At 37.8% G+C, this 27,696-nt stretch overlaps 1 protein-coding gene, 1 long non-coding RNA gene and 1 pseudogene across 2 annotated transcripts in view, besides 5 other annotated features; 2 read left to right on the top strand and 1 right to left on the bottom strand.

Moving 5' to 3' along the window:
• Positions 1 to 27,116, bottom strand: SELENOT (selenoprotein T). The gene is made up of 6 exons (NM_016275.5): positions 26,938 to 27,116; positions 7,942 to 8,052; positions 7,268 to 7,394; positions 5,538 to 5,625; positions 3,274 to 3,427; positions 1 to 2,778 (listed from the first exon to the last, which is right to left on the bottom strand). The coding sequence occupies exons 1-5, from the start codon at positions 27,072 to 27,074 to the stop codon at positions 3,303 to 3,305; spliced, it is 588 nt and encodes a 195-aa protein (NP_057359.2). The 5' UTR covers positions 27,075 to 27,116; the 3' UTR covers positions 1 to 2,778; positions 3,274 to 3,302.
• Positions 18,358 to 19,379, top strand: SAP30P1 (SAP30 pseudogene 1; annotated as a pseudogene).
• Positions 26,232 to 27,005: an enhancer, noted in NCBI's record as "H3K27ac hESC enhancer chr3:150321219-150321992 (GRCh37/hg19 assembly coordinates)". NCBI's record gives its function as "activates a minimal SCP1, AML or CMV promoter by ChIP-STARR-seq in primed H9 embryonic stem cells {active_cell/tissue: H9 hESC(primed)}" and the evidence as "EXISTENCE:reporter gene assay evidence [ECO:0000049][PMID:30033119]".
• Positions 26,232 to 27,127: a biological region, named in NCBI's record as "H3K27ac hESC enhancer GRCh37_chr3:150321219-150321992".
• Positions 26,658 to 26,957: an enhancer, noted in NCBI's record as "active region_20693". NCBI's record gives its function as "activates an Ori minimal core promoter by ATAC-STARR-seq in GM12878 lymphoblastoid cells {active_cell/tissue: GM12878}" and the evidence as "EXISTENCE:reporter gene assay evidence [ECO:0000049][PMID:35858748]".
• Positions 26,978 to 27,127: an enhancer, noted in NCBI's record as "active region_20692". NCBI's record gives its function as "activates an Ori minimal core promoter by ATAC-STARR-seq in GM12878 lymphoblastoid cells {active_cell/tissue: GM12878}" and the evidence as "EXISTENCE:reporter gene assay evidence [ECO:0000049][PMID:35858748]".
• Positions 27,248 to 27,327: an enhancer, noted in NCBI's record as "active region_20691". NCBI's record gives its function as "activates an Ori minimal core promoter by ATAC-STARR-seq in GM12878 lymphoblastoid cells {active_cell/tissue: GM12878}" and the evidence as "EXISTENCE:reporter gene assay evidence [ECO:0000049][PMID:35858748]".
• LOC124900547 (uncharacterized) overlaps positions 27,254 to 27,696 on the top strand; it is a 38,807-nt gene continuing 38,364 nt past the window's right edge. The window contains exon 1 of the long non-coding RNA XR_007096128.1: positions 27,254 to 27,493. This is a non-coding gene — a long non-coding RNA (uncharacterized LOC124900547). The remainder of the gene's footprint in view (positions 27,494 to 27,696) is intronic.

The raw sequence follows: 27,696 nt of genomic DNA, 5'->3' as shown, positions 1-27,696 counted from the left end.
TCAGCTTAATCAAAGTTTATTTTCACAATGCTACAGAGGTAAGTCCCCAAACTTTACAATCCTCATTTGTTTCTCTCAAAAAGATCTCTTTTTTTAAAAAAAAGGCTTTAGAATACCACACCATGTTTAAAATCCTGTAAGCTATTTTTGAAATCTAAATTAAATTCTGACAATGATAAAATGTTTGCCAGCCAATCAAAGTCCCAAACTAATTAACATTCAAAGTAAAAAAGAATCATCATTGGGATCTCATTATATTTTGATAGCTGTAAAGGCTGATTGACTCCTGTCATTAATAGTGTTAGTGTCATAAGCAAATAATATCACTTATATTCTAGAAAAGGAAATAAGCATATTTGTCTTGCACATCTTATACACTGAGGTATAAAACCATGTTTTACCAACTTTTTTTATTAATGTACCAAATAATTTCTTCCACAATGGCAACTGTGGTAAAAACCCCCATAGCATTAGCCAACCTGCTGGCATGTTCTATGGTCTTCTAATTAATATAGTGCACAGACATTTATAAACTACACAGCCACAGTAATTTACAAGTAACTAATAAATATTGAAATGCTGGGAATATAACAAAACTACATTCTAAATAGTTTACTTTCCCTTTTTCCTTATATTATTACTTTTATATTCATTCTTCCCACTCATTTTTTTCACTAGACTCTATTAAATTCAAGATTTAAATATGGCTAAGCGTAAGACAAAAGAGATGAGCGTCAACAACACAGCTGAATTTTATCAGTGTCTAAGCCACTTAAAGCTATTCTCCAAAAGATAAGTTATTCAACCCAAGGCAAACAGAGAAAGTTGGAATTGAATCCTAGGTTCTTTATATTTTTAACTGTCAGGTCCACAGGAACATCCAAGGCTCAAGTTTTGAATGTCTACATGTCATGAAGTTAACTATGGCACTAGTGGAATGTCGATTACTGAAGATGAACCCCTAGACACATTCAGCAAGACATTCAACTTGCAGAAGGCAGGGAATTTGGAGTGGTACACAATCAGATAACAAGGTTTCAAGCTCTAGTCAAAGACAAGATGATATTATACCTAAATAACAATTTCTAAGGAACTTGAATAACAATCTCTAAGGACTCTTGTCACTATATGAAGAACTTAAGTTTATGACTCCACACTCTTAATTAAAAGGACAGCCACTTAATCAATTTTCTGCAGTGAATTATTAGACTAACTTCCTAGCATCTGGAGATTACAGTATGTTCCACCTTGAAGCTATCACAATCAAGACCATTACCTGACATGCATTCAACAAATATTCGATGACAAACAAAGTATAAGGTTAATTGTTACAGAAAGTTAGGTCTTCTAACACCTAAGTGTTAAGTGGACTCAATGTTGAACCTTTTTGAGTGCCAACATGACACTCAAAGGAAATGCTCATGGAACATTTCAGATTTCAGATTTGGGATGCCCAACTGGTAAGTATAATGCAAATATTCCAAACTTTGAAAAAAATTATGAAATCTGAAATACTTCTTGTCCCAAGCATTTTTGGAAAAGGGATACTCAACCTGTACCTTATAACTTTTCCTAAATCACTTTTGGCTCTACCACTTCTATTCCTATATGGAAGCTGAAGTATGTTATTACTGCTGTTACATGACTACTCTTCTACATTCTGGTTCTATTTCTGCTAAATTATTCTTACAGTTTTTATCAACTTAAGTTTTTTAAAAAACTGCCTTTTTAGAACTCTGAAACAGTATTTAAAAATTAAATTTAAAAAATTTTAAGTTTTGTTCATCATATACAATAAAATTCTGATATATGATGTTAGACAAATTATTAGTCAGGTAATTTCTGTTCACCTAGTATCAATGCTATAAAGAGGTTCAAGTGAACTTTCTTTAGTGAGATGAGTTTCAATGATCCTAAAGATGGTAAATGAACGATTATTTGTGTATCTAAAGTGTGTACTCTTAAGAAATTATCCATAAATCAAAAACAAAAATTTAAGCAATTGTTAAATATAATGTTAACAGGTACACTGAGCAATAAATTGAAACTTTTAAATTTAACTCATATCTGCTTAGTTTTTTATTTAGTTAAGTATAAAGGCCCAGTTAATTAATCAATTCATTAGATTGGTCAAGGCATGACACTTTAACTACACAATAGGATTTAAAAAGCAGTTGGTTTTTTTAGTAGTTCTCTGGTAATCACACGCACATACACACATACACAAAAATTTATAGAGTACTCTGAATATAGGATTTCCCCCATAATCTTGCATCTGCTATATTTTGTAAACTGTATAAACTGGACATGGCCAAATTAGAGATGTCTGATAAACTCTTATAAAGTATTTGGGAACTTCAACTGGATTCCCAAAGGATCAATTTTAAACTATAAAAAACAAATATTCATATAAAAGCACAACAGATTTAACAGACATCTTTGGAAAAAAAATCAAATTGTAACTCAATTTTCTACTTTTTCAAATATGACTAAGAAAAAAAGTTACAAGTAGTAATGTTTACCTTAAAAAAAAAACACACACACACATTAACTGGGTGATTTTGTGGGAGGTGGGGAAAGCTATACAGTATTATTGCACTCCATGAATGTGCAGAATTCCAAAATATGCCAGCACTGAAACACTATCTTGCATTGAGGTTTTCCAAGAGGTACAACGAGCCTGCCAAGAAAGCATCTGGTCTGTACTAACAGCTTGCTGTCTTCAGTACAGGCCTTCATAATGTCAGTCACGCTGCTCTTGCAATGATCCCTTAATGCCTGAAAGATATACAGAAAAAAGAATATTTTATTGCAAAAATCACTCATAAAAACTCTTTAGAAAGTGAATTCATTGATCACAAAGAAAAAGTTAACTAATACCTCTCTGTGTTCACACATTTGCCTATAAATTTTTTATCTTGAGTATGTTCAAAGAATTTGCATACTCCCAGGAACTAATTACTTGAAGGTAAGGACAGGAAGTATACACACCTCTAGCATAATATATCAACTCTGGCCATTAGGAATTTAGAGTAAAGAAAATAAGGTTACAGACCCAATCATTAAGCCTTGAAGATAAAATTACTAACAACCTGACTTTATTTTGGCAGGGCCGAACTCTCTTCATACACTTCAACATTTTAATGAAGAATACATCCCTCTGTTTAATCTTAAATTGGAAACTCAAGTGATAATATATGTAATATTTACTAACTTGCTGAGTCATAAGAATCAACAGAAACCTATACATTAGCTATATTTTAAACAACTTACAAAAGAGTTTTCAGTGCTGATAGGTGGTGCTATGATCGATGGTGTGGGATTGAATCCATATGCACATTGAGCTTCATTTCATTGTCAAGAATTTGAACAAGTTGTTGCATGGATGGAAGGTGACCAGATTCCAGCTTAGACCACACAGGTACATCTATAAAAATAAATGGCACCGCCCCCCAAAAAATTAAAGATGATTTTATAATATGCATTCATCCCACTAATATTTATCATCTATGTACACAACTGGGATACAAAAGTAGGCAAAAAAGTACACTGCTTGCTCTCAGGGACTTTACATTCCAGTAGGGGAAATGTCAAAAGAACTACACAAATGGCTACAAAATTACAATTGTGTACTTAGAACTAAAACTAAAAGGCACTACTGTACTAGGAGGGACATATACACAAGGCTCTCCCTGTCTAGTCAGAGAAATAGTATCATTTAAATTGAGATCTAAAAGATAAAGAAAAATTACCAAGACAGAGTGGGGATTCATGAGAGTAGAAAACCTTTGAGGGAGAGAACAGAAATGTAAAGACCAGAAAGTAGCTTGGCACTGAAAATAAGAGAAAATCAGCATAGCTGAGGGAAATATAGAAGAGGAGTGATATAAGGGAGGATGGGAAGGTGGAAAGGATTAGACTGGGGTCAATAAACTGTAAAGGGACAGAAAGTAAACATTTTGGGCTAGGGAAGATACATAGTCTCTGCCACAGCTATTCAACTCTTGTAGCCTAAATGCAGCTGTAACAATACACAAGCAAATGGACATGGTTGTGTTCTAATAAAGCTTTACTTACAAAACAAGCAGCAGAGGATATGGTCCATAGGACCACAGCTTGCTAACCACTGAAATAGATCATGCAGAGCCTTTTGGCCAGATTAAATGTTCTGGTCTTTATCTTGAGAACAAAGTCAAGTCATTTAATGAATTGGGAACACTCAAGCAGCAAGATAAAATTTGCATTAAAAAAGTTATTGTTTAGGCTGGGCGAGGTGGCTCACGCCTGTAATTCCAGCACTTTGGGAGGCGGAGGTGGAGGCGGGCGGATCACAGGGTCAGGAGATCAAGACCATCCTGGCTAACAGGGTGAAACTCTGTCTCTACTAAAAATACAAAAAATTAGCCAGGCGTGGTGGCAGGCGCCTGTAGTCCCAGCTACGCAGGAGGCTGAGGCAGGAGAATGGCGTGAACCTGGGAGGCAGAGCTTGCAGTGAATCGAGATCGCGCCACGGCACTCCAGCCTGGGCGACACAGCGAGACTCCGTCTCAAAAAAAAAAAAAAAAAGTTATTGTTTAGAACAGATATTGGTCAATTTTTCTGTAAGAAGGCAGATGGTAAATATTTTACACTTTATGGACCAAGAGATAAAAATCAAGAACATTATGTAGGTACTTATATAATATAAAGATAAATTTCTACAAATTTTTCACTGATGCAAAGCAAAACTTTAGTTATAAGCACAGAAGTTGGAATTTCATATAGTTTCCATGTGTCATAAAACATTAGTTTTTTTTTTAACCAAAAAGTGTAAAAAACATTATTAGCTCATAGGCCGTATTTGCCAACCCTTGGTTTAGAGAATGCAGAAGAGGGTAACAAGTTAATTGTGTCCTGGACTAGGGTGGTGGCAGTTAAGATGAACAGAAGGTAGATTTTTGAAATTTAGGAGGTGGAACTGAGAAGACTTGGTAATCCATAAAATAGGGGGACTAGGGAAGACGGTGATATTATCATAGGTTTCTGGCATGGGCAACTGAGTAGACAAATGATGGTATCACTAAATAAATGAGAAATGTCAAAGGAGGAGCAAAAGAGTTTACAGACATTATAGGAAGGAGAAGTAAGCAAGAGTTTATTTTAGAGTAGGTTATGTTTAAGATTCTTCAGCATAGCATTTTAGGAGAGAGATCGAGAGATATACATTCAGGGATCATCATACAGATGTTATTTTAAAGCCATGGGAGTAGATAAAGTTCACAGAGACAATCTGATAAAAGAATAGGGCCAACTCCTCAAGGAATTCGAAGGTGTGAAGTTCAAGCAGAGATAAAGAGATTAAGTTGAGGGAGCAAATTAAAAAAAAAAAAGTTAAAATTTTCTAAATTCTTCTATCTCCTGAATTTTCAATTTCTTTCAAATAAACTTACTTTTATACAAACACTAAAGAAGTTTATCTTATTATAAAAGATAAAAGCTTGATACTCATTATAAATCATTTAAAATCAATCACAAAATGCAAACTATTCAGAACCTACCATTTAAAGTTATCTCAAATGCACCTGTTGACATACACTGGTTCTCAATCATGTTGCTCAAGAAGAAAACCATCATACATGCATAAACCTAAAAGAAAATATAATTAAGCACAACAGGCAAAGTCATGTTTGGTAAATGCTCTTTTTAATCTACTTTAAAAGTTCCCATAAAAACTATTACTGCTATTCCATATGTTCAGATAACATACATAGAGCAAAAGTAAACCAATATTAATTTGCAGCTCCATACATGCTGAAGCACTTATAGATGATATTCATAATGTACACAGAATTTGAGAGATTTCATAATAGCCTTAATAAGTTAAACAAAAGAATACAAGCATAAGAGTTCACTTTACCATTTTTATAATATATGAATTCATAAGAGACTTGTGATGCAAAATTAGTAACTCCATATAATATTCAATACAACCTGTATATGTTTCAAACAAATCATTTTAAGTCAAACTAAGAAAGAAGTAGGTTAGAAAGCATAGGCATATTAAAGTACATTCATTCACCTTTCAAAGGCAAATCTATACTCTCTCCCAAAAGCGGCTAAGTGTTTCTTGTTGGACAGAAAATTTTACTTTAACAAAATCACAGGACTAAAAGTAGGATGCAGTGAGAATGCCAATTCACAGCAAGCTGTTTCAGAAAAATAAATCAAATGTTCACAGCAGATGAGAAAGAGCTTTCCCTACTGCCCCACAGGAGCTAGGTGGGGTTTGTTTTTATAGGAATTACTCTACCATTTGGGAATGTTAAGTCTATTTTCATGGGAACAATATACAAGGAAATGTCATAAAACCTACAGGGTAGAGATATATTTCAATTAGAGATACCACTTGAAGATATTTATATTAAGAAGTCCTGCCTGTTACTGGAAAGAAATGGTTCCCAAAGAAAAAGAAGCACAGCTATGCAGGAGTCTGCTAAAGGTATTCAGCCTAGAATTAAAGGACAAGATCAGATAGAAGACTCCAAAAAGGAAGACTTCATAAAAGGAAGCCTAGAAAAATCTAATCCATGAGAAAAATAAAAATTAGACCCATTTTAGACAGGACAGTAAGCCCTCCAGAAACAATGATTAAAATCATTTTTAATATTAAAATATTTTACTTAAAAGTAAAATAAATTAAAATCAGAGTAATCTAGAAAGAATGTATGTGGCAATAAGACCCTACAAAAGGAAAAGAGAAACAGCACAAAGTTCTTAAGTATATTTACATTGTTTCTTTCAGGCAATTAGTCAAACAGATCCATAAACAGAAGAGGCAAAGGACAAATAATTTAAAAAGAGAGAGGAGTTTTGATAAGAACAAGTTAATGGGAATCCCCTTTTTAATGTGAATCAACCCACTAATATGACATTAATTGGTTTAAAAGGCCTGCATTATGTATATATTATGTTTTGCTGGATATGATTTGACCTAAGTAATATAATCAAAATCAGATAACAAATTATTTTGTGCCCAGGTTATACTAAATTAACACCTCCCTATCCCCCCAAAATAAAAAGATTAAGACCTAATCATTCTTAATATATCAATATGGAAATGAAGGTGAAGGGAGGCTAAGTGACTTCCCCAGAGATAAAACTGGTATAAATTAAAATAATACATGTTAACAGGTGAATCAATAACAAGTATTCAAAATAAGAAAATCTATTAGAATATTTCACTGACAACATAAAAACCTACAGTTACCAAAGCTATTAAGTTACATACCTTATTTTCTTGGCCCCACTGCCAGATGCTAGGAGCTTGCATGCCAAAGAAAGCAAAAGGATCCTTGCCAACAATTATTAAGCCTATTAATACTAGTTTGAAGACTGACAGGAAAGATGCTATGTGTCTATCAAAAGAAAAGAAAGAAAATCATCAGAAGCCACAATTTCCAATCTACTTTAAAATTTAGTAATTCAAGTGTATGTAAAGATTTTCTAGACACCAAATCTAAAAGTTACTTATAGAAAAAGCAATTAAAGTTTATTGTGCAGTGTTAAAACAAAAATGTTTAATATATTTAAAATCACCTGAAAAATTAACCTACAAATTTATACAGAATTGGTCTTTAAAAATACTATTATTTTATGAAATACAGAATTTAATACCACTTTCTATAAAAATTTAGGATTGTTATTCTATTTCCACAATTAAAAATACATATGAAAACACATCTTTAGAAGGGTTGCCATCTCTGAAACGACCCTCTTCCTTCTTACAGAAAAAGCCTTCTATATTGGGTCAAATAAACTTGTTATATATAAAACAGCATTCTCTGTATATTATTATAACCAACTAAGTAATTACAATAACTAAGGACAGCTAATTAAACCAATTCACAAACACTTATAAAGTCAAATACATTGTTTTCCTTTTAAGTTATTAAAATTTCTTACCTATATATTGGTTGAGGGAGGTAATTCTCTCCTTCAATGCGGATGTCTGGGTACCGCTGGCTAATAACCCGCATGTACTCCTCAAACACCCGCCTATAACCTCAGGAAACACTGCAGAAAAATAAGTGTTTCCATTAAGTCATTTAGCATACATCTAGATTTATTTTGTAGTTAGTTAAAGCCTAAAAATTATCAAGATTACAAATTTTTCTCAAAATCAGTCACAAATTCATAATAATTGAACCAGGATGACAAATACATTGAGTTTTTTAAATACATTTCACATATTTCAGTTACCACCCCCTCAAATCCTTCCATTAAGACATTAAACTTTATATATGCCAGTAATGCGGCCTGATTTTTTTGTTTAAAAAAAAAAAAGAACATTAAACTTTATAGATTTGGGTTACTGTTGGACAACAGCAAATACCTATTCACATTCAGCATACTTTGAGCTCTCACACAGATTTGGCCTTTTTGGGGGAGTATCAATTACTTGTATAAACAGTGAAATGAAAACAATTCTTATTCATCTGAACTACAGACTTTCAAATTTGGGACACAAGACTTCAAAAACAAAAAACAAACAAACAAAAAAAATCAAGGCATGAGAGAATGAAACTCTGGTTCTTATTCCCATTCTGCCCTTAACCAGGCAAACTTGTTTGCCCAAGCACAAGAAAAGGAACTTAGACTTAGAACCCTTCTAACTCTAAAATTTGATTCTACTTTGCCAAGGAAAACGAAGATTGGGAACATAATTTTCAATAATATGGACAGAAAATCCTTATAATTACTCTGGAGATTAAAGTCTCTAAAGTCTCTAAGCAACTCACTTTCAGATAGATGCTGCCCCAGCAAAAAAAAAAAAAAAAAAAAAAGGAAATATGCCACCAGAGTGCATATGAGATAAAAAAGAAGATGGTACATTTATATCAACAGAAGAACTTACAAATTCAGGTAATATTGTTAAACACTAAAGTTCACTAAATTCTAAGTTAAGGAACAGATAATATCATAAGGTACCACTTGGTACAGAGGAAGCAGGGTCAGTAATTAAGTTACAGTAAAATCTGAGGTGCCAGCTTTGTCAATCAAGGAAAAAAAAAATGATAACCACTACTACCAAGCCAAAGGAACAGCATGGAGTTTCTATCTGACACGGTAAAATGGTAAAAAATGTTAGTAGATCTCAATTTAAGAAAACCTGTGTTTTTTGGGGGGGGTGTGAGGGAACGGTAAGTGAGAAATTCACCAGTCTTTCTTTACAGTGAATATTTCCTTTACATTTAGAATGAATGTCCCTTACAAGTCTAAATATTTCGCAAAGAGATACAAATCTCTATACTTAAGTGAACTTATGAATCTCCAAATACTATCCTTAACATCCACCTAATGTTTTATTATTACCATTGTTGTACTTTTTATTCTTTCTCACTACATGCTGGGCTTTTCTGAGTTCAAATTACTAATTTAATATAATTTCAAATTTACAGAAAAGTTGTAATATTAGTATAAAGATCTTACATAAACACTTCATCTAGATTCATCACATATTAATATTCTGCCACAATTGCTTTCTCTGCAAAAAAATGTATTAATCTTTTCTTTATACCAAAAAAGCAAAGGCAAATATAAAAAAATGTTTAATATTGCTTTTGTTTTACAAAAATAATCTAGATAACCTATAAGCCTAACTACCTTAAAACCAAGAAATGCCACCTGATATCAATGCCCAAGTTTGCACTGGTGTTTACAATGGAGTTGATTATCTAAAATAATTGTATCTTTCTAACTTTTAATGCAGTAATTTGAGAACTAGAGACTTGGTTAGTCAAAACTTGTATTTTATAGATGAACGGGGGAAAAATGAAACCCAGAGAGATAACGTGACTTTTCCGAAGTTATGCATCCAATGTATTATTTCACTCACTCAAATATTTACTGAACGCCTATTTATTACATGGTAAGCACTGTAGCAGGCAGTGAGTATTTAGTGGTGAGTAACACAGATACGGTCCTGTCCTCACTGAGTGCCAGGGATGGGACCAGAACACAGTCTTTGTGATTTGGGGTCCTAGGCCCTTTCCACTAGACCCCAAATTTAACAATTAGATGATTCAAGAGCTATCCTTCATATGTCCAGGAAGTAAGTTCCCTTTGTCCACAATGCCACCATCGGGTACCTATACAATTGGCCTCCTGGGTTTTTCCATGATGAAGATATAGAGATTCTTCTGAGAAGACCAAGCTTATGAGCCCCAAGAAGTCCCTTAAGGGAAACCCTAAGAGACTCAACTAGAGATGTGCATATGCGCAGGCTGAACTAACAGTCAGATTCCCCCTATAGTTACCCACTTTTCTGGCTAATGTGTTTAGAAGCATAAATCTACTTGGTTCATCAGGCCCTAAATCTTCAGTTAAGTCTTAGACCTTTGTGTGAAACTCCAAATAGAATTTAGCTAATAATCTGATTCCAAAAAGGACTTTAAAACTGAACTTTCCTTACTTCTGAAAAATAAAGCAGTTTATAAGATAGCCACATCATACTTTTAGACAAGTTTACTTATGCATATTCCTCCTTATATTTGCTTCCAGACTTGTGAAAACCAAGGAACCCTTTTTCCTATATAATTGCTTTCCCTAAAATAATTTTTCTGTTGTGAAGCAGCAATCACTACTGCTAACAGATGTCTTCCAAAATGTAACATACCAAGGTGGACAAATGTTAAAGGTATACATGGTAAAGAGCTAGTAACCATCACCTCTACCATCTCACCCATTTCTTTCAAATTATTCCACTCTTTTTGGGTCAATGAGTTAAAACTGCCTCTCTCAGTACACCTCCAAATAAGTATATGAACACACTAAAAATGCTGCATCAGCTGCCTATCCTTCTGCTCCGGACTAAATGTCCTCAGGAATTAAACCTAACTCCTGAAAAGAAATCTTTCTTTTTTTTGAGACAGTCTCACTCTGTTGCCCAGGCTAGCGTGCAGTGGCGCGATCTCGGCTCACTGCAAACTCCGCCTCCCGCATTCAAGCGATTCACCTGCCTCAGTCTCCTGAATAGCTGGGATTACAGGCGCCCGCCGCCGTGCCCAGCTAATTTTTTTTTTTGTATTTTTAGTAGAGATGGGGTTTCACCATGTTGGCGAGGCTGGTCTCGAATTCCTGACCTCATGATCCACCCGCCTCGGCTTCCCAAAGTGCTGGGATTACAGGCGTGAGCCACCATGCCTAGCCAAAAAGAAATCTTTTTTTTTTTTTTTTTTGAGACGGAGTCTCGCTCTGTCGCCCAGGCTGGAGTGCAGTGGCGCGATCTCGGCTCACTGCAAGCTCCGCCTCCCGGGTTCACGCCATTCTCCTGCCTCAGCTTCCCCAGTAGCTGAGACTACAGGCGCCCACCACCACACCCGGCTAAGAAATCTTAAGTTTAAGTGCTATCACTTTGCAAATCCCTTTCTAGTAACACAGATATACCTTACTATACGGAATCAACTGTTGCAATTGCTTGATTTAAAATATTTTGGAAACAGTACTTTTCTAAAAGAAGATCTTGCTTACATATTAGATGATCTATGCAGAACAGAAAGGAAATTTCGAAAATACAGCAAAATCTCTTGTCCATGCTATTTCAAATTGGTTTTGTGCTTTTTAAAGTCTATCATAGGCTGGGCATCGTGGCTCACATCTGTAATCCCAGCACTTTGGGAGGCTGAGGCAGGAGGTTCACTTGATCCCAGGAGTTCAAGACCAGCCTAGGCAATACAGTGAGACTCCATCTCTACAAAAAAAAAGAAAAAATTAGCCAGGTATGGTACCACGTATCTGAAGTACCAGCTACTGGGGAGGCTGAGGTGGGAGGATCATTTGAGTCTAAGAAGTCAAGGCTACAGAGAGCCGAGATCACACTACTGCATTCCAGCCTGGATGACAGAGCAGTATGTGTTCAGTGTCCTAATTCATAGTGCCAACCATTCCACTTTCACCTTCTCTATTACATTTGCTGCTAATTGGAGTCAAATGCCTACTTATATCAAACCTAGGCCCATCATAAACCCCAATCTCTCGCATCCTCATTAAAAGACAACATGAACAAGATCTCAGATATTTATTGTTACAAAATAAATACTTGTTTGTGGTTTTCTATTTTCACAATCTCTCCAATTCACTCTCTCGTTTGATTCACAATAGCCATCCACGCATAGCATTGGGTCCCATTTACACAACGAGGCCTAATTCCTTGTCATAGCTGATGTTCCAGAAATACAAACCTGTAACAAGAAGATCCAAACAGAGTTCCTTCTCTAGAAATGAAGAACTGGGATTTTAAAAAGTGACTATCGGCCAGTGCAGTGCTGTAATCCTAGCACTTTGGGAGGCTGAGGCGGGTGGATCACCTGAGGTCAGGAGTTTGAGACCAGCCTGGCCAACATGGTGAAACTCTGTCTCTACTAAAAATATAAAAATTAGCAGGGCATGGTGGCGCGTGCCTGTAGTCCCAGCTACTTGGGAGGCTGAGGCATGAGAATCACTTCAACCCAGGAGGCGGGGGTTGCAGTGAGCCAATACCGCACCACTGCACTCCTGCACTCCAGCACTCCAGCCTGGGAGACAGTGAGACTGTCAAAAACCAAACCAAACCAAACCAAACAAAAACAGTTGCAAACACTTTGAATGAAGATAAAAAGCGTGCTCAGTTTTTTTTTGTTTTTTTTTAAGTTGCATAAACAACACTACACAAGTAGTAGCTTATCAGGTTAAGGAACTATATTATATGAGACCAGGTGATTTCTCTTACAGCTGCAGCACTCTTAGAGCATTACAGTGTCTACCAGTGTAGAAATACACACAAAATGAGCCTAACGTGGCTTCTAAGACGTGGAGGGTCCTGGCTTCTTTATTGGGTTTATTCAAATGTCACCTGAAATCAATCTACAACCAACAGGTAAAAGTACAAGATAAACAGGAAATAAGCAATCCTTCTGCCTCAGTCTCCTCAATAACTGGTACTATAGGCATGTGCCACCATGCCCAGCTATTTTTAAATTTTTTGTTGAGATGAGATCTCACTATGTTGCCCAGGGTGGTTTCAAACTCCTGGCCTCAAGTGATCCTCCCGCTTCGGCCTCCCAAAGTGCTAGGATTATAGGCATGAGTTACCATGCCTTTCCTCAATTTGTTAAAACAAAAATTTTTTTTTAGCATTTCCATCATTACTAAATAAGAGAAAAGATTTAAGACTAGTTATAAGAAACACAGGTTGGCAAGAGATGAGAAAAAAAGGAACACAGACTGAGAGAAACAAATGCACTCTGAATATAATTTTCCTTACATATCCAGCCTGCTTCTCTTAAAACAGTCCTCCAACTCAGCTGTTATTTGCTTTTTCTATTACAACTGGGCTTACCACCACATGCCCATAGCTGCCTTTCAACTATTATAATAATTGGTATGCTGCTTTCTACCTATCCTTCCTCCAATCAGTTCAGCTGCCTGAGTGTAGATTCCATCATAGTATTCACCTGTGTAAAACCATTTCTCACTTTGGCTGGGTGCAGTGGCTTACGCCTGTAATCCCAGCACTTTGGGAGGCCAAGGCAGGAGGTGTATTGCTTGAGCTCAGGAGTTTGAAACCAGCCTGAGTAACACGGTAAAACCTCGTCTCTACAAGAAATACAAAAATTAGCTGGGCATGGTGGCATGCACCTGTAGTCCCAGCTACTTGAAAGTAGACATTCAAATAGCACTTGATTAATATTGACACAGGCCCACTTTATTTAAATGACAATGAATTTCTGACTTTTTAATGACTGCCATTCTAACTGGTGTGAGATGGTATCTCATTGTGGTTTTGATTTGCATTTCTCTGATGGCCAGTGATGGTAAGCATTTTTTCATGTGTTTTTTGGCTACATAAATGTCTTCTTTTGAGAAGTGTCTGTTCATGTCCTTTGCCCACTTTTTGATGGGGTTGTTTGTTTTTTTCTTGTAAATTTGTTTGAGTTCATTGTAGATTCTGGATATTAGCCCTTTGTCAGATGAGTAGGTTGTGAAAATTTTCTCCCATTTTGTAGGTTGCCTGTTCACTCTGATGGTAGTTTCTTTTGCTGTGCAGAAGCTCTTTAGTTTAATTAGATCCCATTTGTCAATTTTGGCTTTTGTTGCCATTGCTTTTGGTGTTTTAGACATGAAGTCCTTGCCCATGCCTATGTCCTGAATGGTAATGCCTAGGTTTTCTTCTAGGGTTTTTATGGTTTTAGGTCTAATGTTTAAGTCTTTAATCCATCTTGAATTGATTTTTGTATAAGGTGTAAGGAAGGGATCCAGTTTCAGCTTTCTACATATGGCTAGCCAATTTTCCCAGCACCATTTATTAAATAGGGAATCCTTTCCCCATTGCTTGTTTTTCTCAGGTTTGTCAAAGATCAGATAGTTGTAGATATGCGGCATCATTTCTGAGGGCTCTGTTCTGTTCCATTGATCTATATCTCTGTTTTGGTACCAGTACCATGCTGTTTTGGTTACTGTAGCCTTGTAGTATAGTTTGAAGTCAGGCAGTGTGATGCCTCCAGCTTTGTTCTTTTGGCTTAGGATTGACTTGGTGATGCGGGCTCTTTTTTGGTTCCATATGAACTTTAAAGTAGTTTTTTCCAATTCTGTGAAGAAAGGCATTGGTAGCTTGATGGGGATGGCATTGAATCTGTAAATTACCTTGGGCAGTATGGCCATTTTCACGATATTTATTCTTCCTACCCATGAGCATGGAATGTTCTTCCATTTGTTTGTATCCTCTTTTATTTCCTTGAGCAGTGGTTTGTAGTTCTCCTTGAAGAGGTTCTTCACATCCCTTGTAAGTTGGATTCCTAGGTATTTTATTCTCTTTGAAGCAATTGTGAATGGGAGTTCACTCATGATTTGGCTCTCTGTTTGTCTGTTGTTGGTGTATAGGAAATCTGAAACAACAGGTGCTGGAGAGGATGTGGAGAAATAAGAACACTTTTACACTGTTGGTGGGACTGTAAACTAGTTCAACCATTGTGGAAGTCAGTGTGGCGATTCCTCAGGGATCTAGAACTAGAAATACCATTTGACCCAGCCATCCCATTACTGGGTATATACCCAAAGGACTATAAATCATGCTGCTATAAAGACACATGCACACGTATGTTTATTGCGGCATTATTCACAATAGCAAAGACTTGGAACCAACCCAAATGTCCAACAATGATAGACTGGAGTAAGAAAATGTGGCACATATACACCTTGGAATACTATGCAGCCATAAAAAATGATGCATTCATGTCCTTTGTAGGGACATGGATGAAATTGGAAACCATCATTCTCAGTAAACTATTGCAAGAACAAAAAACCAAACACCGCATATTCTCACTCATAGGTGGGAATTGAACAATGAGATCACATGGACACAGGAAGGGGAACATCACACTCTGGGGACCATTGTGGGGTGGGGGGAGGGGGGAGGGATAGCATTGGGAGATATACCTAATGCTAGATGACGAGTTAGTGGGTGCAGCACACCAGCATGGCACATGTATACGTATGTAACTAACCTGCACAATGTGCACATGTACCCTAAAACTTAAAGTATAATAATAATAAAAAATAATAATAAATAAATAAATAAAATGACAATGAATTATAGAATCAATTTTAACAAATGTTTTATAGAAGTATTTATATGGTCTATATAATTTCAATTATTTTCCCACTTCAAGCCCTCTGTGAAACATCTCATAAATTCTAAATAAATAATATCTATTTCTTATAAAAATGATTTTAAAGTTCTTCCATCTTCTTACCTACTGGATTTTTGTTCTCTTACCTCTTTCCTATACCTATCAAGGTTCATCTTAATTACCCTGGCTTCTTTAAATATTCTTCCTAGCTGAACTAACCATGAAAGAGAAACCCTGGATCCTAGTTCTAGCTCTGTCACTAAATAAAAATCTTAGATAAACCTACAAAGTCTACTTTTCGTATTTTCATGTGTAAGATCCTTTCTAGCTCTAAATTCTACACTATTGCCTTCTAAAATCCTCCATTAAAAAAAAAAAAAACCCACCTCCATTTCTAGTCACATCTGACCTGCTTTTCCAATCAAGAAACCTCAGGTATATTTATTTTGACTAACATTTTAAATCTGACAAGCTAATCTGTAGCTTCTAAGAATTACTAATAGGAAGGATGTGCCTCACTTGAGCTTCCTCTCACTAGTCATCCCCTACCTGCCTCCATTCACAGCTCCTAAGAATCTCCAACAGAATAGCCAGCTAACTTGAATAAAAGTTTTATGTATCCATTTTCTTTGTACTTGTTAGCATTTTCATTTTATAATGTTTATTATAACAGCGTCTATAAGCCCAGTTTATCTTTTTCTGGCACTGTGGTGCCACTACTCAAAACTGTTCAATAGCACCTTACCTTCTCTTGATCCCAAAGCCTTGGATTAAAAAAAAAAATAAACCTAAAATGTACTGTCTCTTGATGAATGTGCTTTCTCCTGCATGTGCTTTCTCCTGTGGCCAGGGTGGCTTCACTACCACTTATCTTTTGCATCTTGTACAAAACCAGTAACATATCTATCTCTACCTGTAACTACTGCCAGTCTTCAAGAGCAGAAGAGCTATCTTGCAAAGATCCTCTCTCCAAAAAACCTGTGAATCAATCAAGTGGCCAACACACCATGTGTTGAGAATCTTAGGGAACCTAATGAGATGAATGCACCGTCATGTTAATTAACCTGAACCTCTCAATCATCTCTGGGTCTTTTTCTCTAAAAAAAAAAAAAAAAAAAAAAAAAAAAGTTCCCATCTTCTGCATAATTTAGTGAAGAGAATGTCCCTAAAGTATTTAACCTTTGCTGCATCAGATTTTACAATTATCTTCCTTTATTCACTTTTGTGCAACTGCAATTTATATCACATAACACTCCACGAAACAAATCAAAAAATGTATTAAGATGTTTGTACTACGTCCACTCATATTTTTTTTCAGAAAACTACCTTAAGACTAGTAAGTTATTACTAGGCAATGCTTTCCACATATAACAAAGAAACATGCTTTAACAGTGATTTAAAATTTTAACAAGTATGTTGTGCTATGTATGGTTTGAATATGTCCTACAAAAAGCATAGGATGAAAATAATCCTAATGCAACACTGTTGGGAGGCAGGGTCTAATGGGAGGTGAGGCTGCAAGTTCAATCACCTGCTTTCGCTTGCCCTCTCTTTGACCTTCCACCATGAGCTGACTCAGCAAGAAGGCCCTCACCAAATGCCAGCACCTTGACAGTGGACTTCCCAGCCTCCAGAACTATGAGAAAGAAATTTTTCTTTATAAATTACCTTGTCTGTGATATTCTATTATAGCAACACCAAACTATGACAGTTTTTTATGTCTAATTCTGCTCAAAAATCTTTAAATCTTTCGGACTCTTTCATCTTCAAGAAGGTACAGTAAAAATGTGAATAGTGCCAAGAACTCTAACTTAGATATTGAAAAATAGATAAGCTGGAGTTTGTGTGTGGGGAAGGATTCTGTCTAGTCACAATCTTAATGAGAAATATAAAGTATCTTTTAAAAACTCTGCTTCAGAAACATGACTTTTTGGTTTTAGACAATATGTCTAATTAAAAGAATAAAAGCTAAAACAAAATGAACTTTGGAAGTTAGTGCAGAATATAACAAAAGTGGCTTTTTAACTATGGGCAAAATAAGAAGATGGATAAAATAGGCTTACCAGCAGTTTCAACTCTTATTTCTGTTCTGACTCACCAACAGGGGAAACATTAAGATTTATCAGATACTTATGTCCTTGAACAAACTAGCTAGCTAGCTATATTCTTATTAAACCCTCAAGACAATCCTGTGAAGTTCTATCATGCCCACTTTATAATTGAGCAAATAGACTCAGATAGGTTAACTTGTTTTAGTCATATAACTAATAGGTGGCAGATCCAGAATATGAACGAAATTATGTGATACCACCCAAATTACATGACACCAAAATCTAATTATCCTCAAAGGATATGTCTTAACATTAGAAAGAATGACCAACATTAAAAATATATATATATAGCCGGGCATGGTGGCTCACACCTGTAATCCCAGCACTTTGGGAGGCCGAGGAGGGCCAATCACTTAGGGTCAGGAGTTTGAGACCAGCCTGATAAACATGCCGAAACCCTGTCTCTACTAAAAATACAAAAATTAGCTGGGTGCGGTGGCGGGCGCCTGTAATCCCAGCTACTCAGGAGACTGAGGCAGGAGAATAGCTTGAGCCGGGAGGCGGAGGTTACGGTGAGCCAAGATTGCGCCACCGCACTCCAGCCTGGGCGACAGAGCGAGATTCTGTCTCAAAAAAAAAAAAAGCTGAAGACCCCATGTAACAGTGAGCTGGGTCTCCATTCCAGGAGACGCTCGACTCTGAGTCCCGGCCCTCGGCACTGTCCACTGTTTCGGCGCCAGCAGCAGCAGGCCCAGTTGGTGTTCTGCCATGCAGCTAACTTGGTGTGCAGAGTGAACTGCCGCCGACGGAGCGGCCAGGAGAGTGGGGATTTCTGTCAGCGCCGGTACCCCGGAGCTCGGAGACATGAACGGCTTCACGCCTGGGCAGTGGGGAGGCGGCAGCCGCAGTGGCCGCTGTGGTCGCCAGTGCCTCGTCCGGGAAATCGGGGCTGAGGGGCCGGGCGCAGGGGCGGTCTCAGCGGCTGGGCCCCTGGGGGCGGCCAGGCCGGGCTCCTGGCAACTGTGCTGCCTGCGGAGGATGGTGAGCGGTGCGGTCGGGCAGCAGGCAACGCCAGCTTCAGCAAGAGGATCCAGAAGAGCATATCCCAGAAGGTGAAGATCGAGCTGGATAAGAGCGCAGGCATCTTTACATATGTGATTATCATAAAAACTTAATTCAGAGTATTCGAAACAGAAGAAAGAGAAAAGGGAGTGATGATGATGGAGGTGATTCACCTGTTCAAGATTTCGATACCCCAGAGGTTGATTTATACCAATTACAAGTAAATACACTTAGGAGATACAAAAGACACTTAAAGCCACCAACCAGACCAGGACTTAATAAAGCACAACTTGTTGAGATAGTTGGTTGCCACTTTAGGTCTATTCCAGTGAGTGAAAAAGACACCTTAACATATTTCATCTAATCAGTGAAGAATGACAAGAACAAATCAGATCTCAAGGTTGATAGTGGTGTTCACTAGATGTGGAATTGAGACTAAAAACTTGGATGTTAACACTGTTTACCGCTTTTTCACATGTAGAAATGTTCTTTGTGTATTTTTTCTGCAAAAGATTTTCTGATTTTATTTTCTTTGTTTCTGACTCTAATAATTAGTTGGAAACTCATGTAAAATGAGCTTTCCTAAATTAAAAACTATTTTAAATAAAGGTTATTACTATTAAAAAAGAAAACAAAAACAAATACACACACACACACACACACACACACACACACGACTCATGATGCAATAGTACTGTGGCAAGACCATTAAATACAGAGTCAGGAAATCAGCTCTCTCACTGACCAACAAGACAATGGTCAAGTCCATTAACCTGCTTTTGTCACAGTATCCACACCTGTACAATGAGTAGGATGACACCTGCAATACACAGGTAGTTCTCAGAGTACTCAAGAGATAAGGCATGTAAAAGTGACACATGTATGTAGGTAGGTTATCACCATTATTAGAAAAATGTTAACAGCATTTGGATACTTTAAATGTTAGTAAAACATTTTTTAGTCTCTTTTCCTGAAAGAGTTCACAATCTAATTTCAGAGAGACAAATACACAGCAAACCCTGGGGAACAATTATAAGGTAATGCAGAAGCAAGCCCAGAAAGCAGTGCACAAATTACAAACACAAATTAAAGAGCAAGGAGAGAAAGAACAATAATTTCACTGGTGTATCTTTCTATCACACTTCTCTTAGGTCATCAATTATGTATATTCTATCCTTTCCTTCTCTCTACCAGCAAAATTGAAAATAATGAAACATGAACCCAGTCTAATAGACTGATTGAAATGTTAAGACTGTTTTTGGTTACTAAGATGCAAACTTGAAGAAAAACCAAACACAGTGCCATCCTGAATTTGAAGTGCTGAGATAACCAAATCAAATCAACCATAAGTAGTTCTGCTTAATGACACAACTACTTATCAAATGAACACCTTTGTCAAAATGAAAAGAAAAGGGTACCTTTATACCTAATGAAAAGACTGTCTTGCTTGTGGTACAAATGCTAGGTTTCGTAATGCCAAACTATAACAAAATTAGTTAAGCTACCTTCAAAAGTAAGCACTGTAATGTGACAATAGAGACCAATCATAAGTAAAACAGTTGGGTTTCATTTTCATTCACATAACTACTAGGAATCTTTGATATCATTCACTCTGTTCCTCATTTTTTTCTACCAGCCAAAATTACCTTTTAAAACATTAAACTAATGAAATTCTCTAATGTAATGTAATTTTGGTACATAGCCCCTATCAAATTCTTACTCAAATTCTGAAATCACAAAAATTCACAAAAATAAATCATACCAAACACTGACACTTTAACCAACAACCTAATGACAAAATCTAGGAGAAAATTATATTAATTATAAGGTAGACAGAAAGGTCAAGATTAAGAAAAATTACCTAAACTCTGCTTCAGGAAAATTCCTATCTGAAAGCTCACAGATCTAAGGCTCATCCCAAAGGGAGAACCAAATAGCTGGTCAACTTCAGTGAAGTAAGATACTATCCATGCTCCCATTCCCAACTTTCTATATCCTGACAGAGGATGTGTTAAAAAGAAAGAAAACACCAAGGCTGGGCAAGGGGGCTCCTGCCTGTAATCTCGACACTTTGGAAGGCTGAGGCAGGACTGCTTGAGCCCAGGAGTTCAAGACCAGCTTTGCCAACATGGTGAAACCTCCTCTCTACAAAAAAATACAAAAATTGGCCAGGCATGTAGTGCGCGCCTGTAATCTCAGCTACTTGGGAGGCTGAGGTGGGAGAATGACTTGAGCCTCGGCAGTCGAGGCTACAATGAGCAATGACTGCACCACTGCACTCCAGCCTGGGTGACAGAGTGAGACCCAGTCTCAAAAAAAGAAAAAGAAAACATCAACAGAATAAGTAGCAAGGGTGTGTCAGTTTCAGGGCAGCAGGAAAAGGACTAGCAGTAGCACAGAGAATTCTGGAAGTTTATAGTCCCACCTGTAGAGGCACGGAGGCCAGGCCGAAAAGTTACTGATGGCGCAGTGTATTCAAAACTTAAGTTTTACCCTCAACAACTTAAACAAAGGAACATACCTCAAAATAGTAAGAGCCATCTCTGACAAACCCATAACCAATATCATACTGAATGGGCAAAAGTTGAAAGCATTCCCCCTAAGAACTGGAACAAAACAAGGATGTCTACTCTCACCACTCCTATTCAACATAATACTAGAAGTCCTAGGCAGAACAATCAGGCGAGAGAAAGAAACTGTACTAATCAAAATTTAGGGGTTATCTTGGTATTTCTAAATAATATATTCAACTCAATTGTCCAGCACTTGCCTTAATGGCAAACTGTTAGGAAATTATGTTTCAATTTTTTGTAAAAGGTTATAAAACCTTTAAGATCATTCAGTCATGTTTACCTATATCTAAAAGCTTTGAACTAAGTACTTAATTCATTATTAAGTGGAAACAACTATTATGTGCAAGGAGTTCAATTACATGCTGCAGCTATTTTTTTAATGGTAACACTCTACTACTACTAACCTGCTATCTACACCAACTTCTTACTACTCCTTTATTTCATTGATACCAATAAGCATACTTTTCCATATTTAGCATCTCTACTTTTCCTTTTTTTAAAATTAGAGACAAAGTCTCGCTATGTTGCCCAGGCTGGTCTTGAACTCCTGGCCGCAAGCAATCCTCCCACCTCAGCCTCCTGAGTAGCTGGAATTTACAGGTGTAAGCCACTAAACGTGGCTACATGTAGCATCTCTATAAATTAAAAAAACAATAACAAACAAAAAAAGCCACAGGATTTATCTTATAATCATTAGTGTGTCCGTTTAAATGGCAGTATTTTTTTCTTCTAAATGGCATATAAAATCATGGTACATCTTACAATCCATTATGTATTTTAGGTTTGATGTAATAAAGTAACTGTTAATTTAAGTTTCTTAGTTTCAGTTATCATGGCTATTTTGGAGATAAAAATTTCTTTGTGGGGGTTTTCCCCTGGCTACTATGTCCTTAGTCTTCAAAAATCAGGATTCCTTCCCTCCCACCAAAAACATTCATAATACTTGTTTATTTTAATTATCATTCCAGTGAATGGTATAGCATCACCACAGAACTCAGGAATCATCTTTGACATCTCTCACTTCATGCCACCTCTCTTTCCCCACAAACATACAATTCATCATTAAGAGCTGTTAAATTTACCACATAAAGATCTCTCAAATACATCTCTTTCTATTTCTACCACCTCCTTACTTTTCCAAGTTCCATTATCTCTTGCCTGGACAACTCCAAAAGCCGCCCTAAATGGTTTCCCATCAATTCTTTGTCTCCTGGAATGTCTTTTCCACAAGAAAACCAAACGGTCTTTGTTAAGCATGGCCTGCCAGACCCTCAAGCTCTTAACGGCACCTTCTTTTAGGTCTCTGAGGTCAGTAGGCTTAGGCTTCTCTGGTAAAACTGTGGTCTTTCCTACTATAAGTACACTGAACATGTTATTCCCATTGCCTGGAAAGTTCTCGCCAAATAAATCTTATCCTTCGAATCTCAGTTCAAAGTTCATTTCCTCATGGAAACCTTCCCTGATCCCGACTAGGCATCTCTCATACCACCACATAATCTTTCTTCACAGCACTTAACACCAATTGAATTTTATCTGTGTGGTCAGTCCATGGATTAATGTCTGCATCTGCTCTTGCCTGTGAAGTCCACGAGAGCACTGAATTGAATTCTCCGCAGGAAGCAAAGTGCCTGCACAGAGTAAGTGCTCCAATATCTGTTGAATATGCAAATATCAAGTCTACAGTAACCAACATGATCTCTGTAACTCACAATTTCTCCAATTCAGCATTTTACTACTAATCTTGATGAGTATCAACATCCAAATCAACCTTAGGTCTTTATTTTCTTGCTGTCACACTATGAAAGCCAAGGCTGAATAGTTGTAAATTTAAATAAAAATCTGTTTTGGTACAGTTGTTTCATTTACCTCTTAAAACTACATTTAGAAGTTGGCTGTCCTAAAATTACAGCAGTAGATTCTCAAACTAACAAAACTTTGAAAATCCCGCCATATTCTACTTATGTTTTGAAATCTCAATTTCATTTAATCTACTATTCTCAGCAATTCAGTTGTCAAATGTTCAAGTAAATATTAACTGTAAAGGGTTGTAGCCAATAATCTCTTTAAACTGCAACTAATTAAATGCTGTAGATCTGATTACATGTTAAATCGCATATACGGAGAAAGTATGTATGACAAACATCATGCCTAAGAGTAACTATCAATACAAATTTATAAAAATCAATAAAAGGAAAACACAAAAAGGGAATTTCAGCCGGGGGCAGTGGCTCAAACCTGTAATCCTAGCACTTTGGGACGCCAAGGTGGGTAGGTCACTTTGAGGTCAGGAGTTCAAAATCAGCCTGGCCAACATGGTGAAACCCCGTCTCTACTAAAAATACAAAAATTAGCCAGGCGTGGTGGTGCACACCTGCAGTCCCAGCTACTCAGGAGGCTGAGGCATGAGAATCTCTTGAGCCCAGGAGGCAGAGGTTGCAGTGAGCTGAGATCACACCACTGCACTCTAGCTTGGGCAACAAAGCAACACTGTCTCAAAAACAATGGAATTTTAAGCTCTGATTAGAGAACTTCCTTTTTCTATGTTAAGTGTTAAACGTCCAAATAAGCAGAATAAATTTTTTTCCAAGTATGAAGCCAATATAATCAAAAGTATCTAATTATATTGCTCAATCAACATAATAAACCACAGACTCAGATACACAAGTAATACTGTGCCAGTCTGGTAGACTTCTTGAGATGGTCACATCTTTAGCATGCTTAATTCCTGGCATACAGCAGGTATTACACACAGCCTGGGCAACAAGGCAAGACCAGGTCTCTACAAAAAATATGAAAATTAGCCAGGCGTGGTGGTGCGCGTCTGCAGTCCCAGCTACTTGGGAGGCTGTGGTGGGAGGATTATCGGAACTCAGGAAGTCAAGGCTCCGTGATCATGCCATTGCACTCCAAACTGGGTGACACAGCGGGACTCTGTCTCAGCAAAAAAAAAAAAAAAGGAAGAAAGAAAGGAAAAAAAAAAACGAGAATAGGAAACTCTGTCGTAAGCTACTCTACAAGCTTGATCTCTCAGCACTATGTTGCTATTGTGTTGACTAACAATTGCAAAAGTGGTACAATTACCAGGTGATATATTGAGGTATAGTTATTTTTGATAAAATACTCATGATCACTATAAGGGGAAAAAGTCAGTGGAAATGAAGGTAAAATAGTTCTCTTTTGATTGTTAGCAGTGGTAATTAATGAAAAGCTGCATTTTATAATACTGACTTCAAATGGAATTTTAAAATTCTCATGTTTATCCTCAAACGTATTAGCTTCCTGTCCTTTCTCAAACAAACTTGCAAATTAATGTCCACAAGATTCTAGCAAAACCAGAAACCCAATATTCACTTTACCATAAACAGATTAATCTCTGGGGGGAAAAGCAACAAACAACAAGCTAAGTTGATCTGTATTTGGTGGGTCTTATTAATAACGTTATTTCCCATCTACAGATTAAACAAAAAATGATCTCCGGTGGATAGTGTCAGAAAAATAAAAATAAAAATAATTTTTTAAATGGAAGCATTTTTGTTATATAACATGCTCAGAGTGACTGTAAAAGAAAATTATTAGACTTTTGGGACAGGTCTGTACTTAAAAACAAAGAAAAACAAAGTATCAAAAGTTTAACTGAAGTACTTACTACTTTTTTTTTAAGTTTAATTTGAAGGACTGAATGCCCTTCCCTACGTTTGTTTACACATTTTGAAAACCTTGCTATGAATAGCCTTGGTGGAAGATACACCTGGTAAATTATTGTGACAAGTGTTCCAAAAAAAGCAAACGTAAAAGGGGTATTTTGGAAAAGCAAAAATACAACCAAGAGATAAAAGTAGGATACAGAAAAATTAAATAATTTGAAAACTGCAATTTTTTAACACTTAAATCCGTAAGTATCACAACCCTTAACAATCTTTAGGTTAGTAAGATGATTACCACCTTCTAATTTAAAAATTAAGGAAAAAAGTTAATGGATAAACCATTCTCCCATTTGCAGTATTACATGAAAGATGATATATTCCAGAAACATAGTACATTGTACAGGGAGGTTTTTTTTTTTTTTTTTGAGACGGAGTTTCGCTCTTGTTGCCCAGGCTGGAGTGCAATGGCGCGTTCTCGGCTCACCGCAACCTCCGCTTCCCGGGTTCAAGCGATTCTCCTGCCTCAGCCTCCCAAGTAGTTGGGATTACAGGCATGCGCCACCACGCCAGGCTAATTTTTGTATTTTTAGTAGAGATGGGGGTTTCTCCATGTTGGTCAGGCTGGTCTCGAACTCCCGACCTCAGGTGATCCGCTAGCCTCGGCCTCCAAAGTGCTGGGATTACAGGCGTGAGCCAGCGAGCCCGGCCTTGTTTGTTTTTAATCAGGAGAAATTGCAATGTTTTAGTTTTCACTCAAAAAAATAAAGTCTCACCATCTTATTTTCTAACTCAAACATCACCTTAAGCCGATTTTTAAAAATTATTTTAAAGGTTTGCTTGGTCTTCAGTGAGTAAGTAAAAAGCTAGTTGGAGAAGTAGAAAATCAAAACTTTAATATACTAATACATGAAGTTCTTAAAAGAAGGTTTTAAATGAATGATGTCCAACACCAACATTCCAATGTATCCGGACTCTGATGATTTACTAATCTGGCTATTCTGGGATGGTCGGTTTATCCTGAGAAAATGTCATCTTTGGAGGTGTAAGATTCTCATTTCTATAATTTTACAATTTTGGTGTTTTTTCCCCCATCTTCAGAGCCTTTCAATCCCCACCCGCAACCCCACTTACCGTATAAAATGCATCATTGCCCTGCTTCTAACGATTAGGTTAAAAACAAAATCATTTAAAGAACACTGTCGAAAACTGCCGAGATCTGCTGGATACACAAGACAACTGAAAGGTAGAAAGAGATGCCAGAGCAGGCAACTCCTGGGAGGCAGGTGAGGAGGGAATGCGAGCGAACTGTCAATGTTTAGAAGAACAACGTGCTCCTTTTCTGACACTTTGGAAATGGCAAACAGAACCAGCATCCCCAGACCTTCCTTCCACCCCCTCCAGCTGTCAGACGCCCCATTCGCAAACTCAACAGTCCCCCCAGCAAGTTCAGGAGAAAAACGGCGTCTGTCACTCCCGGATCCTCTCCAATGACCCGAATTAACCTTCATCTAGCCAGGCAGCGAAGCCGCCCGGCATTACCCCGGAAAAGAGGGCAGAAAAAGTGAACTGACAAACGGTTGGCGCTCCTCCGCCGACGCGGCGCCTACTCATCCCCATCTCCGCAGGCAGCCGGGGTGGCTATGGCGTGACGCCGCCAACCAGTCCTCCGTACTAACAGGTGTCCCCCAGTCTTCGCCTTTCAGCGTTTAACCTTCTCGCGCCCTCCTTCCCCATTCCCACTGTTCTAGGAGGCAAAAAACAAGTGAGCAGTTATACCTGGAAAAGGAGGGCGGCCTGACCGCGCTAAGGGGCCGCGAGAAGGCTGGCTGTGGAAGGGCGCCGGCACAGTTCTACGAGGCCAGCGAAGATGCGGCCATTTAGGCCGCGAAGCCGGGGCCTCGCGTAGCCAATGGCGCCGAGCAGAGGCGCGGCGGGGTGGCCGGGGCCCAGTGCACATACTCACCAAATCTGGAACTTGAGCAGCGGCCCCGTGGCGTACTGCATCTTTAATCTCTTGCTGGGCACGCCGCCCAGATTGGCCGAGGCCTCGCTCCGGACCATCGCAGACGCCGCCACTAGGAGAAGCAGCAGAAGCCTCATCTTAAATGAGCCAGCCACTTCGGCCGCCCTCAGACAGACTGCAGCCAGCCCAAAGCCCAGGAGCGAGCTGCTCCCCACTGCGCAGGCGCGATCAGCCAAGGTCGGGGGAGGGGAGCAGTAATGCGCCTGCGCGGCCCGGCGCCCGCGCACACTCCTGGAGTGAAGAGCCGACCTGTTTCACTGTCCTGACTCACCACCATCTTGGTAGTGTGCAAGACTCTGGGACGGCATGAGAAAGGCAGAAAGGGAGCAAAGGAGCTGGTGGGGTGTCACAGGGCCTATGTATGAGGCAGATGTGAGTTCTGCATCCAGTTTTGCAATTTATCCATTTACCTGCCTGAGACTTGGAAACACCTACTTTATAGTCCTGATTCAAGTGTTGGCGGATGGAAGGGAGGAGACTCCTGACCCTCAGAATGGTAATGCTGAAATTTTTTGGGTGCGCTGTTATGGCCTTTTCTTTGATCTTACAATATTGCTTTCTCCTGAAAGAATATTAAACATAAGTTTTAGGAAACCTTTGGACAATTCCAAACATATCCAAAAATAGAATAACTACCTTAGCAAGCTTTAACAGTTACTATACATTTTGACAATCTTGATTTGTCTATATCTCTAAACA

The sequence above is a fragment of the Homo sapiens genome, chromosome 3 (assembly GCF_000001405.40).
Source record: "Homo sapiens chromosome 3, GRCh38.p14 Primary Assembly".
Classification (NCBI taxonomy): Eukaryota; Metazoa; Chordata; class Mammalia; order Primates; family Hominidae; genus Homo; species Homo sapiens.
This window is presented reverse-complemented; position numbering and strand designations above follow the sequence as displayed.